The sequence below is a fragment of the Homo sapiens genome, chromosome 18 (genome assembly GCF_000001405.40).
Source record: "Homo sapiens chromosome 18, GRCh38.p14 Primary Assembly".
NCBI classification, from domain to species: domain Eukaryota; kingdom Metazoa; phylum Chordata; class Mammalia; order Primates; family Hominidae; genus Homo; species Homo sapiens.
This window is the reverse complement of record NC_000018.10, coordinates 25,812,176-25,826,797: the sequence shown is the minus strand read 5'-3', so window position 1 is coordinate 25,826,797 and position 14,622 is coordinate 25,812,176. Positions and strand designations below refer to the sequence as shown.

General features: G+C 40.6%; 1 pseudogene, besides 1 other annotated feature; it reads left to right on the top strand.

The window, feature by feature from the left end:
• RN7SL97P (RNA, 7SL, cytoplasmic 97, pseudogene) lies at nucleotides 8,266-8,564 on the top strand (annotated as a pseudogene).
• Nucleotides 11,649-11,718: an enhancer, noted in NCBI's record as "active region_13175". NCBI's record gives its function as "activates an Ori minimal core promoter by ATAC-STARR-seq in GM12878 lymphoblastoid cells {active_cell/tissue: GM12878}" and the evidence as "EXISTENCE:reporter gene assay evidence [ECO:0000049][PMID:35858748]".

Below are 14,622 nucleotides of genomic sequence, written 5' to 3'. Positions count from 1 at the left end.
AATATGATTTTTTGTGTGTAGACAGAACTGTGCATCTGGGCACTGCTGATCCCACCCCCTCCCACCCCCACTTCTTTCCTTTTCTCTCTGTTAGGGCTGGGAGCAAAAGTCTGGGCTTGCTGCATGGACACAGACAACACAAGCCTGAGTTGCTCTTGCTCTGCTGTGGATGAGTGTGGTTTTGTTTGGTTTCACACTTCATTTTGTCTCTGAGCTGCAGAGGACAGCTGGTCAGCTCTCAGTCCTGCTTTGCCACCTCTTGGAAAGGAAAGGCAGTGAGAGGAAACTAGACATGCCAGCCAGGCTAAGGATGAGGGCCTCAGGACTCCCACATGGAAGAAACCCACGGAGGAAGGAGGTTCTGCCAGATCTGCCTCCCTGTGTTCACAGAGTCTCTGGACCTCTAGGTGTTGCACCCAGGCTTTTGTAGTTCACTCTTGAGAGGAAGGAGCTGCCAGGCCCCTGGGCTGTGTAGGGCCAGGAGTGAAGGCTGGGGGCCATGTGTGGGCATATTTAAGCCAGCCAAGGCCTCAGAAAGTGAGGAAGGGGGGCTTTGGGAGACTTCGACTTCCTGCCTTTGAACCTCAGACAAACCTAAAAGGCCCTCGGAAACACTATTTGCTCACGGGATGATAATGTGGCTGTGTTTGTGTTCACCAGCTAGTGAGATATGGAAGGTTTGGACTGAAATGACAGGCAGTGGGTGGAGGGGCCTCCTGAGGAAATACTTCAGATAAATACTTCTGGGATAAGATCCTTGACCAGGGGTGAAAGTGGGAACAAAGATGGAGAGGTTTACATAGACTATATGCTGATTAAATACTGTTTTTATTTGTATGTGATTTACGTTTTACCTACTTCCAAAAAGGATTGGAGGGGGATGACTAGTTGAAGGTGAAGGATGAGGTAAGAATGACTCCAAGTTCTCAAGCCTGAGTGATGGAGAAAAAGAGGGTGTCACTATCTCAGGCAGGAAGAATGGCTGGGAGGAGAAAATATTTGTGAGCAGACAATGATGTGTTCGGTTTTGGATTTGTCACTCTTTAGGTGATGAAGAGACATTCAAATAGAAAAATTTACTAGACTGTTGCAAACATGTTACTCAGAGAATCCCTATCTTTGATAGGCAGGCTGTCTGCAAAAACAAATCTATGTGATTAGTACAGAAATAGGAACTCCTTAATTTATAGCCGTAGCTATTGTTTGCTTCTCACTGCTTTTAGTGTCATATCTTTGCTCCGAAGGAGTTGTAATTTTGAGTATCACATGCATGGGTGAGCACACACACGTGCGCACACACACACTCTCTCTCACACAAACACACAAAGCCTATTTGCTGCAGTTGTATCCCGGAGTCTTGATACTAAATTGCTCAAAGTTTTGCTTTCCTGTGTCCTGGGAGAGCCCTTTGGTCTTCTGTCTTGTCTCCCTGAAGCCACTCGCTTCAGCTCCCCGACAGGCACTTCCGTGTATCCTTCTGTGATCTCTCCCTTGTTTGTGTCTTGAGTAGCAGAAATGCATTCCGGCAAGACTCACCCCTTTGCTGTGACAGATTGCTACACTGCAGAGCCCATTCAAATAACTTTTCTTTTGCCTGCCTGCATTCTCAGAGAAGCTTTTAGTGTCCTCCTTGGAAAACCACATGAAACAATGTGAGCTATCCAGGGTAAGAGCTCAGCAAATGAGTACCAAGTTAGGAGTTCGAAGCAAAATAAAGAGGTTATAGCCAGGAGAAGTTTCCAAGGTTGCTGACGTGTAAAAATGTCTAATTGGCAAGTGTATTCTCCTTAAAGACTCAGAAGAGGAGGGTATCGATCTATTGCTGCCCTCTAGAACAGATTCTTTTGTAGAATCCAAGACAACGTTTTATTTTTATTTTCTTACTGTGTGTGTCAGAATTTAGAATATATTAACTTTCACTAGTACCTAAATCTTAAACTTTCTTTGCTTTAACCCCAAAGTATATTTCCCTTTTCTTTTTCTAACTCTTTATAAGCATAATTTAAAAAATTACACAAGTAAAACTTCCAAACAAATAGAAGGATATAGGATAAAGCTTTTATCTTTTCCCACTCTTGAATTGTGTTCTTCTCTCCAGAGGCAGCATGTGAATAGTTTAATATGTAGCTTTCCATGCCTTTTTCTGTATATTTAAATACATGCCTGGATTGCTCTGTCCCAGTGGTCACTTGCTGGTCACCCATTTTACTTCCTCAGGGAGGGCCTCTCTGATGACACAATGTAAATGAGCTGCCCTCATTATCACCTTTTGCCTTTCACTATTTTGGTTTTCCTCCTGGCATTTATTACCATCAGTAGTAGGCAGAATAAAGCTCCCTTCTCTACAAAGATGTCCACGCCCTAATCCCTGAAACCTGTGGATGAATATGTTCTCTTCTGTGACAAAGGGGACCAAATGTGATACAAGTAAAAGCATGAACCCAAAGGAAGGGAGATAATCCTGGATTATCCTGGTGGGTCCAATCTAATCACACAAGGCCTTAGAAGTGGTGAACCTTTCCTGGCTGAGTCAGAGAGAAGGGCAAGAGATTCAGAGCATGACAAGGACTTGATTTGCCACTGCTGGCTTTGAAGATGGAGGCAGGGGGACACCAGGCCAAAGGATGCAGGTGGCCTCTAGAAACTGGGAATGGTTCTTGGCTGACAGCCAGCAAGGAAACAGGGACCACAGTCCTATAACCACAAGGAACCAAATTCTGCAACAACTTGAAAGAGCAAGGAAACACATCTTTCCCTAGAGCCTGCAGGGAATGCAGCCCTTTCTGGGCAAAACTCGGATTGAACGTTTGACCTACAGAATTGGGAGATAAATTTGTGTTGTTTAAGCTGCTAAGTATGCAATAATTTGTTCTGACAATAATGCAAAACTAACACACCATTTAAATTATTTTGGTCTTTTATTGGTTTGCTTGTTTGTTTATTGTCAGCCTGCCCAATAGAATGTGAACTCCAGGAAAGAGAGACTTTGTCTACTTGGCCCACTACTCTATCTCTACTGACTAGAACAGTTCCTAGCAGGTAGTAGGTGCTAATTTTGTTGTTGTTGAGTGAATAAATGAATATTAATGTGGACATGTTTGTATATGATATCAGATTACACATAATATCTTATGACTTGCTTTTTACACTTAATGATGTATCTTAGATGTCTTTCCATTTAGTTCCTATAGATATAACTCACTCTTTTTAACTGCTACACTACATACAATTTATGATTGGATGTATAATCATTTTTGTTAACCATCCCCTTATTGATGGACATATAAGCTATTTTCAGTTTTTCACTTTGCACATCTCTGGGCACGTGTCCAAATATTTCTATGAGATAGAAATGAAGTTTCTGAGTCAAAGCATAAGTTTTTTTTAAGTTTGATGGATATTGTTAAATTGCCCTCTAAAAATTCTATACCAAGGGACACCCCCAATAACTGATGACAAAACGTTTCCCAACACTCTTGGTAATGTTAGTCTTATAAATCCACTTAAAAAAAAAACAATGACTGGTAGGTAAAAGTATCTTATTGTGTTTTAGTGTTTGCATTTCTCTGATAGTTCCTAATGTTGAACTGCTTTTCTTAAGTTTGTTAGCTATTTGTTTTCTTTTTCATTGAATTGGTCTCTGGCATCAGAATTTAAAAATCTGAATCCTGACTATAGCATTTACTAACTGATAACTCTGGACAAGTTCCTAAATTTCTCTTTGTCTCAATTTTCTTGTCTGTAAATGGAGATGATAATAGTATCTGATCAAAAGAATTACTATGCAAATTAATAGAGTTAATAGATAAAAAGTGCTTAAGATACTGCCTGGCAAATAGGATCCTATCAATCAATATCAGCTATATCTTTGTCCATTTTTTGTCTCTTGGGTTGCTTTATTATTGATTTATAAAAACTCTTTGTATATTATAAAAACTCATCTATTGTCTGAAACACATTTATTGCAAATGTATTCTTCAAGTTGCTTGCCTTTTAGCTTTGGTAGTGATGTATTTTATCTTAAAGAATTTTAAAATTATTTCCAATCTGTCCATCTTTTTCTTTGTGCAGACTATATGCAGTCACAAAATTATAAAAGAATTCTCCCATATTTTCCTCTACTATATTTCTATATTTTTTGTGTTTAGTTCTTGAATTGCCTTGAGATTTATTTTTGTATATGGAGTGATGTAGGAATCAAGTTTTCTTCCAAAGTAAAGACATAATTTCCCCAGAGTCATTTATTGCATATATTTCTCCACTGATTTAAAATACTTGATTGACTGTATGTGTTAAATTCACATATATATGAGATATTTTGTATTTATTCCTCTCTATTTTTTTGAGCTGGAGCATACTCCTTCCCAAATACCACATCATTTTAATTTGTATAACTACATAACATATCTAATACTTGCTAGCACAAGTTCGGTTTGCTATTTTTTCTCTAAATTTTCTTGGATATTTACAAATCCTTTCTCTTTTATATAAACTTTACAATCAGTGTGTTAAGTTTATTCTGGTTGTTTTTAATATACAGGTTAATTGGGGAGAATTTTTACATATAAAATATTGAGCCTTTTAGCATATTATGATTAGGTCTAAACTTAAGCATTTTTCTGTTATCATGATAAAAGCCTTTGTTCATTACATTTTCTAAGGGGACATTGTTGATAAATGAAGCTGCTAGTGGTTTATGTATATTGATCTTGTATCTGGCGATCTTATTTATCTTTTACATTAATCAAAACAGTTTTCCAGTTGATTCTTTCAGATTTCTGGGTAGATAATAACATCATATACAAATAATTGCAGTTTTGTCTCCTTCCAATTTACCATCTCATTTATTTTCTGTGGCTTCTTGTATCGGTGAGGACTACTGTTATGATCGTCATACTTGATGACATGATTTCTTATCCTTTCCTTGACTTAAATGGAAGACGTTTTATTTTTCTCCTTACTTAACTCATTTTGCTTATGTATAAGTAGATTTTTAAATTTTCTATGGCTTGTTCAAAGAGATACCTTTCTTTACTCATTAGAGGGAATATACGCCAGGAAGTAGATGATGTCTTGATATAAAAAAACTGAAAATAGGTTTGTAAAGAATATGCTGTTTTGTACAGTGATGTAAGAAGGAAGAATGGAGGGATAAAGTATAAGAAAAACAGGATGAAAAAGGAGAGAAGAGATAAGAGATGGAGGTTATTGAAGCAAAACAAAACAAAAACAGGAGGGTCCATGTTCCTAGACTTCAGTGGTAGAAACGGTGGCCGGACTGCTTTTTACCCTTTGGGTGGAAGAAAGGACATGTTTGGCAGGAGGAAGGGAAAGGAGACGATGGGTACTAGGTATGCATGGTTCTGGCGGGCATCAGGACTGGGGTGGAATAATGAGTAAAGCCTTAGCAGCAAAGCTGTACCAACACAGTGTTGGAAACCCTGTGCCAGTCCAAGCAATGACAGTGCCCTGCTCAGACACCACTTGACGTTGATGTGGCACAAATGTGTGGCTGCGGCACTGTCAGCTGTGTGCTTAAGACTGGAGTGCAAGTGTGACCTATAGAAACAGCCTTGGGGTCGTCAGGACATTTTCCTTCCTAGAGTCTATTTGGCAGGCACCGCACCCTCCGCCAGTCCACATCAGAACACATTATAGAAGGCTTTAGAATGTTCTGCTAATCTGCACCTTTCCTCAAGCGGGTAAGTTACTTGTAGAAAGATAAAAATTTTCCTGTATAAATAAATTCAGAATAACCATAATTCTGGTGTCCCTCTCTAGCACAATACTGTATCATAGCATATCTTATGTGCACCAGCCTGTCTCTGAAGGTGCAAACTATGACACCTGAAGATTTCCATGTCTACATTATTTTAAGGGTCTTTCCCTGGTAATCACTGATTCTTCTTTCCTTTAAACTATTTACTGAGAAAATAGTTTATTTTAAAATGGCATGGCGTTTGTTCTTTGTCTCTCTTTCTCAAATAAATCTCTATTAAAGTTCCCTTCTCCAGAGCTGGCACTCTATTTTGCAATATCTTTATCATAGCACTTATGTTGCTGTTAATGTCAGTTGCCCTCTTAGACAGGGCGGTCTCCGAAGGCGGGCACTGTGTGTTTTTGTCTTTCCTTCTGTCATTCTTATCACAGTGCCTGGCATGAAGAGGATGATCAATACATTTGTTGGCTAGATTAGTATGTGAAAGAAATGAGCAAGATAGCATATTTAAATGTATTTTTCTTAGTCTCAAGATAGTAGTAAGAGTGGGCTATCATGGCAAACATGAAGATGGAGGAAAAAGTTCTGCCAAATATATTTTAGTAATTTTGCTTAATAAGATGCTTACTTGATTAGTCATGTGAATATTGGTTGATATCAATCTATAATGTCATGGAGTATATCATCATCATCACCACTAGACTATTTTTCAAAGCACAGGAGCCCAAGTAATGATGCTTAACTCATTATTTTCCTCATTATTCCTGTGAAATTGTAGGTGGCAGGGCATTATTTATTTCTGGGCTCTCTGTGTCTGGAAAGTCACCCTTCTTGGTGCAGAGCTGAGCAGATTCTCTTTTTGCTTACAGTCCTTTGTGTGCAGGCATCACACCAGCTGAAGAGCAGAGTCCTTGCAAAGAGGCCAGAGGTCACCTGGCTGCTAACGGAGAAGCCTTTCTGGACTCCTTGAGGAAGGGCACAGGGATGCTCCCAGGGAGGGGAGCCAGCAGGGAGATTGTCCATGCATTTTTAGGCACCAGTTCCCCTTTTCTCCTTCTTTGGCTGGTTTCCCTTTAGGGCCTCTGGGGCTCCAGAATAGATATGTGAGCAGCACAGGCTGCTAGTCTCTGCTTAAACCCAGGAGACTCCTCCTTATTCCCCAGAGAGCTCTTGGGAGGGAACAGAGAGGAAAGTGCTGCTTGCTCTTTCCTAGTGGGGAAAATGAAGCAGGATTAATATGGATACAGCATTTAGGAAGAAAGCCTAATATCCCCAAAGACAGATTTTAGATTCATAAAATCTACACTTATAGGAAGGTACTTTATGAATAAATTGGGTTAATCCCCTTATTTTACAAAGAAGAGAATTGATACCTAGAAATCTCACAGTAGTAAAATCAGGAGTAAAACTCAGAGCCCCTGGTCCAGCATTCATTTGGTTATAGTGACTTGGATTAAATTATTCAGTTAATCATTAAAATTCTTTGGTTATAAAATTTACTTACAACTTTTGAAGAAAGCAAGAGATAGCTTTATTTCTAATCCAAGAATAAGCACTACGTTTTCAAGATGTAGTTTTGAGGAATCTGCTATTTTAGTTACTCAATTATATATATATATATATATTTCACCATGTTGGCCAGGCTGGTCTCAAACTCCTGACCTCAGGTGATCTGCCCATCTCGGTCTCCCAAAGTGCTGGGATTACAGGCGTGAGCCACCACACCCGGCCCACTCAATTATATATTAGTCATACTTCTCCAAAAGAAGTAGAGACACTGGGTCAGCGGATCAAACTGATGTATTATTTGAGTATGAGATCTTAGAAAGATGTGGCCACACATAGAGCAGAGATCAGGCACTGGCAGAGCTGGATTCTGGAGCAAATCTGCCCCAGCTTTTTGTGGGGCCATCAGATGCCGTTCAACTCTGGTAGCTTATCTGTAAAATACTTTCCTTCCCCTGTAGGATCATGAAGACCCACTTGAGACAAGAGATGCCAAGGGCTTTGAAACACACTTTTACTATAGAAAAGAGTTACTTCCGGTTTATGTTAAGATGCAGAGCTATTAGCTTGAGAAATATTCCTGAGGACTTTGTTCCAAAGTGCAAAATATTAGCTTAATTTGTATCGCTGAGAAGTTAAGTCTTCTCAACTCTTGTTAACTTTGGAAAGAGCATTAATGAGGAAAAGGTAGCCGTGCAAGGCATGGGTTTCTACTGCTCTCCTGATGTCTCCAAATCACACGCCTACCCTCTGGCTGGGGCCATCAGCATTAGCGAAAGTTAACTCTTAGGCCTGAAACTTAAAATGTCAACTCTTTCACTTCAAAGCATCCATTCTGTCAAGTATAGGAAGTCTCTCAATTTATGATGTCAGCAGTTTCTTAAATTTGCTTTAAAATAATTCGAATACTTTGGTCTTGATTTCATTTTTGAAATTGTTGAGTGAACATTCTTCTATCTTAAACATCTTAAATAGGTAGGATGTTCTATGAATTTGGGCTAATCCACTCTGTCTGAAACGTGTTACTAAGGGTGACAGAGGCTGGGTGTGGTGGCACCGGCCTGCAGTCCCAGCTACTCAGGAGGGGAGGCTGAGATTGGAGGATCACTTGAGCTCAGAGTTCTGGGCTGTAGTGCGCTATGCCGGGTGTCTGCACTGAATCTGGCATTGATATGGTGACCTCCCAGGAGCAAGGGACCACCAGGTTGCTTAAGAAGAGGTGAGCTAGCCCAGGCTGGGAACGAAACAGGTCAAAACTCCCATGCTGATCAGTAGAGGGATCATGCCTGTGAATAGCCACTGAACTCCAGCCTGGACAACATAGCCAGACCCCGTCTCTTAAAAAAAAAAAAAAAAGAGTGACAAAGGATGTGTTAAATAAAAGGTTAAGGAAGAAAAGAGGACAGTGATTAGAAAGGAAAAACAGTGTGAGCCAAAGAACTCCAGGACAGCTGGGAAGCCGGCTTGGGCTGGGAGATTAGGTTGCCTGCTGAAGTCTAGCTGCTTTGTCTTAACTGGGAGAAGAAAGTTCTGAGCAACAGGTTGTTGATCCATGAAACACATCCCACATTTTCTCATTATAAGCCGTCAGCTCTTTCCACACCTTTCCTGTCAACATATAGGTCACTGTGTTTAATTTTTGTGATACATTTCCCCCATCACTGGCCCTGAGTCAGATGGTAGAGAGAGTAGCTAAATGGTCTTAGCTGCCCACATAACTTTTCCAGTTTTATTTTTTTTTTTGGTTAGGGTTGTTTCTATTTCTGACAGTTCAGAGAGTTGTTCACATAAGTCAGTGGTAAAAATCTCTCGTGTTAGCAGGTGGTGAAAGGATTAAATCATTTTCCGTGAAGTCACTTATGTTGCTCCATTGCTGGTGTTTTATCACTTCTATTTAGCTCTTTCTTTGGTGAAGCAAGGATATCTATATTAGGTAAATGAAAAATGAACTGCACTCTTATTCTCTTGTTAATACAGCTGGTGCTCTTCCAAAAATCATACACTACCGCTGACAAATCACTGTAATAATCACAAGCCTAAGCTTTAATTTCTTGGACCATTTTTACAGAGCATTCATTTTTCAGCTATTACGATGAACAAAATTGATTGTTTTGGAAGAATGTCTAGGGCTTATAGCTTCCTTCCTTGGGGTCTGAAATGTATCACAAGGAACCTCAGTTCTAGTGCTTGTGATAATGCCTGGCTCCAGGAAAGTCTCTCTATTCCTTGTGCCTCAGTTTCCTCATCTCTAACATCTCTTATCCTCAGTTTCTGGGGCTGATTAAGTGATAGAGAAGTACAATTAGTCTCTTAAAGGGAGAACATTAATGCGAGGTATTACTGACACTCAGATATTTACTTTTAAATTGAGAACATGTTCTCTTCCTTCAGAATACATCTTTGAGAATTTAAAATTCTAAAATTATATTTCAAAAATAAAACATGTGGAGATTTATCCCCCAAGGGCCTCCCTGAGAGAACCACTTTGGCTCCAACATGAAATACCTATTTCTATAAACAAATACCCAAGAAAGGCCAGGCACAGTGGCTCACACCTGTAATCCCAGCACTTTGGGAGGCCGAGGCTGGTGGATCACCTGAAGTTGGGAGTTCAAGACCAGCCTGACCAACATGGAGAAACCCTGTCTCTACTAAAAATACAAAATTAGCTGGGCATGGTGGCACATGCCTGTAATCCCAGCTACTCGGGAGGCTGAGGCGGGAGAATCACTTGAACCCGGCAGGTGGAGGTTGTGGTGAGCTGAGATCGTGCCATTGCACTCCAGCCTGGGCAACAAGAGTGAAACTCCGTCTCAAAACAAAAAAACAAACAAACAAACAAACAACAACAAAAAATACCCAAGAAAGAGAATGAACATTACCCAGTAGCCAAAAAATTTTAGGAAGCAAGGTTTCTGATGGGCAGTGGCCCCCATCATCCCTTGTCCTATATCCCAAGAAGCCGCTCAATTATCTCATTGAGCCAAATTTGTGAGAGAGGCAGGTCTTGTTTCTGAAGATGTTCTATACTCCTTTTCTTCTTCTTTTTGTAGCATATTCCCTCTCCTTGGACCCTCCACCCCTGGGTAGCTGATGTCCTCATGGTGCTTCTTAGAGCTCCCTAAGCGTCCTGCCCACACCCGTCATTCCAGGGAGTGCCTTGATTCAGTCTAACCCTATTCCCCAATAAAATTACCCCCTTTTGTTACTTTTCTTCATTACCTTGTCATATAATAGTAACTGTATAATGGTAGCTGAAATCAACTCCATTTAATGAAGGAATATTGTGTTCGTTGAAAGATGATGAATGTGGGGTGTAACTGACTCTGACAGAAAAGCTGTTTGGTATCAGACCACTCCCGATCTGGTTCACCACGGCTATTGCCGACAGACATAGGAGCCTGGTCATGGAAATCCTTCTGCTAGGTCCCAGGAGGACACAGGACTCTAGATTCTTCCCAGCATCTCAGAAGGAAAAAAGGTAACCAGGAGCTTGTGCAACTGATAAGCAATATACACCTCTTTACTTTCCTCTATCTCTGAATAAAGGGGCCAGGCCAAGGATGTTCGAGCCCAGCCTGCCATGAGTTCCAGGAAATGACTGACCCAGAAGCCACAAATGCTTTCAGAAGCCCTGGAATTAGAAATGGTAATGAACTCATAAATGGGTGAGGGGAAGGATTAGCATGTGAGCTGCCCATTTCCATGGATACAAGGCTCCTTTCATTTATTTTTACTGGGCTTTTACGGGGACTCAGAGCTCCAAATCTGATGGGACATCTGTGCTTCATTAGCTGTGTTTCATTAGCTTTATAATGTGATTTAAACAGACCTCTCAAAGTTGCAACAAGGGAGGCTCCTGAGGTCCCTAGTTCCTGGCCTTGCCTTGCAGGGGGCCCACGAAATGGCCACATGAATGGAGACGAGTGTTCGAAGGTCGTGGGGCCGCTGGAAGATGGATCTCAGGCTAGGATGAGGTCAGACACATCTTTTCCTCTACAATTAAGATCTTAGAAAGGGGGCCTTCTAAATACAAAAGTATCTCTACAGGGAAAAAGGAGAATTTGGCTGTAGGGCCTGGAAGGCTCTGCTAATTCTAGCAATCTGGGTACTCTCACCTACCCCAGTAGCCTTCCCTCTTCTCTGCTTTGGAAGTCAGCACAATTAACACGTGTTTTCTAGGTTGAGGGAGGAAATGTAAAACATGAGGGCAGTTTGGTGGACTGCAACAGGAAGCAGGAAGCAGCCACTTTTTGAGTGTTCCCTCCAGCAATGATTAAAGTAGAAGCAGGTAGTCAGTCACGTGACAGGGCTGAAATGTATAAACTGGGTATCACACTGCTCTGAGAATAGTTGCTATGGTAACCCAGACAGAGATGGAACAGCAGTAAAGGAGAGCTGCCCTGAAAGCAAATGTTATTGATTAAATGAAATTTTTTTTTTTGGGGGGTGGGAGGTTGGCAGAATGAGAGGAGGAGGCAGGTGAACCTACTCTAATGACTGTACAGAAAGTGTGGTTCGGTTGAATATTGACAAATCTTGTCAGGAGTCCTTATAGAAACTGAAAGTTAAATGATCATCTGCACAAGCTACCGTTTCAGTCCATGGCTGAACTTTTTGATTTCAACATTACACAGGCAATTCATGGTTTCTTAAGAAAGCCTATGATGTTGGAACCAGGTAGCACTGCTAATCTTGAGTTCAAAACCTGGTCATCTGAAGCAGGATTATTTTCTGAAGGGTTTATGAATGTGTCCACTAAGCAACCTGGTTATTTCTAATTGAGTTCCACATTCTGCCTTCTGTTGTTCCCATTCCCACTCTAGAGGTAGCTGTTTGGTGTTGGAGGTAGGGTGACCCTCTAAATGTGACCTTATTCCAACTTTGGAATGTATACTCCCTGTGAACTTTTGGCATTGTGACCTATCTGCACTTCTTTTTCCTTAACTGTGACATCGAGAAAAGAACTCTGCCCTACTTTTTGGGATAATTGTGAGAAATAACTTATTAATGATTATAAAGCACTTGAAAATACAAGCTCTTTACAAATGCAAGATGATAAAAAATGCATACGAGTAGCACTAACAACAATCACATCAAGGCCACTGAGAAGGTAGCTGGAGTGTGCTCCAAAATCCAAAGGGAGAATGAAGATCTGTAAGTAGGAAATATCCTTTGATAGACCAAGTAAGACATGAAGACAGACAGCATCCTGGACTTCCTGAATAGTCATCTGAATGTGCAACTCACTTTCATTTATAGGGACGAGTTATGAGTTGCAGATTTGGCAATAACTTTTTTTTAAAAAAAGGAATTGTTGGTCGAATGTTTATTATCCTCAGCATGCCCTTGCCTTTACTATGAGCTGGTTGCAATGACCTTCCGAAACAACTGGTACCCTCACTCCCAAGGCTGATGACCTTCCTTTTGTCCCTTGCCTTACCTTTTTTGCAGCAAAACTGTACAATACCATACAGCCCTCTGCCAGCAGATCCGTTACTAAAGGAATTCATGCATCTTGCATCTTGAAGATGCATTATTAATGCCTGGACAAATCACATCAGGTGAAACCCAGCAAGTCCCTGGCACTGAAAAAAAGGAACAAAGGCTGGCTCTACAAGAGAGCGATGGATGAGACAAATTATAACAGCTGGGAGTTTCTTGTAAGTAAGATGGCATAAAAACCAGAAATGCTAAAATTGTGTGCATAGACAGCAACTTTGTATTTCTGTGGTAAAACAGATTACACACAGTGCTGGAAGAAAGCCGCTCTAATTGTGGCTTCGTTAAAGTCATGGCGCTGCAACTCTTTGAATTTCTCAATAAAAGGGGCCAGCTTGCTGGTGACCAAATTACTTCCAAGCACAACCCCAGGCTCCTATACATGATTTCTGAGATGGACTAGGAAGGATGGATTTTTCTAAGAGGGCCAGTAATCAACTCTGTCTGCACAGGGAAAAAAATAAAATGTGGCTTGGGAGAGCCCACCAGGGAACCCTGGAGCAAGAGAGACCATGGGGGACAGGGGGAATGGAGTCCCTTAAGTCCCTCATGTCATCTCTTCTGGCCGTGGTAGGGGATGCCTGCATAGGTGGGCATGAGACAGCAGTTTGCTTGTGTGTGACTCATCCTTCTGTGTGAGAACTTACAGATCCTTTGACTTCTAAACTGGGTGATTGGAGATAGATAAATATGAGGTTTATTTCAAATGGATTACTAAAAGCCACGAGTGCATAATCATTTAGCTGTGCAGATCCACGACTGTGCCGACTCCCAGGGGTCACTAATGACACATGAGCTGCTTCAGCCCTGATGAGCCTCCCCACTCTTTCTGTAGGGGCTATGGCAGGGAGGATTTGTTTTAAATTGCAGGCAACGGCTAAAGTTTATGATGACATTAAAGGGAGGCATTTTTCAAACCTACTTCTAGATAATCAGTTTATTAAATAAGATTTCTTTTGACACTATGAAAGAAATAATATTCTTTTTAAATATGAGAGCTGCTGATGTGTTAAAGAAAGGGACCCTCTTGTGTGTGTGTGTGTGTACATGCACGTGTGAGTGAGCATGTGCTCACACTTGTGTCTCATGTGCACAGTTCTCTTGTGGTTTCTGTGTAATATTGCCCACAGTTTCTATTTGGAGAATCACTTTTCCTTACATGTACTGAACAACAAACATGAAACCACCTAATTATATTTTCATAATCATGATTAAAAACCATCTAAATTATCCTGCTTGATGTACTCGAAGAGTTTGTTGATTGCTTTTTGATGTGTATTAGAGCTTTATGCAGAGCCACATCAAATGAGTTGCTTCATAATGAAATAAAGGGAAAAATCCTTTAATATGCATGCACACTTACTTAAAATATACATATATAATTCATATTTGGCTAATTAACCAGCATCAACACAAAATCCATGACCATGAAATAATTGTGGAAAGGCTGATTACCTTCAAATAGTACATTAATTTCCATTTCATATATATTTATATATATATCTGTATTTGCACAATATTGAGTCTACCTTTTACAGAAGCCACTCAGTCTTTTGAACCATCAATGCCTCAACGTATTTGTCCACATTCTGGGAAAGAGTTGTGAAATTAGGATGCGAATTTCAGATTTAATTTAACACAGGAATTTCATGTAAATACTCCCCTTCCCTACCATCTGTTCCCTTGGACAATGGAGGGATTCTGGGCCAGTTCACATGAAGGAACAGGAATAAACAGCAGTCCAGTGTGATTTCTTCCTGCTGAACAAGTGTCGCTTCCCCTCTTCCTAGGAACATCAGTGTATGGACTCCTTATGGTTTTCCTGTTTATACACATTCATTTATCCCAGGGCAGGAAGAACTAACTTTTAGGCCTTTTTTCTCTAAGCACTTTTT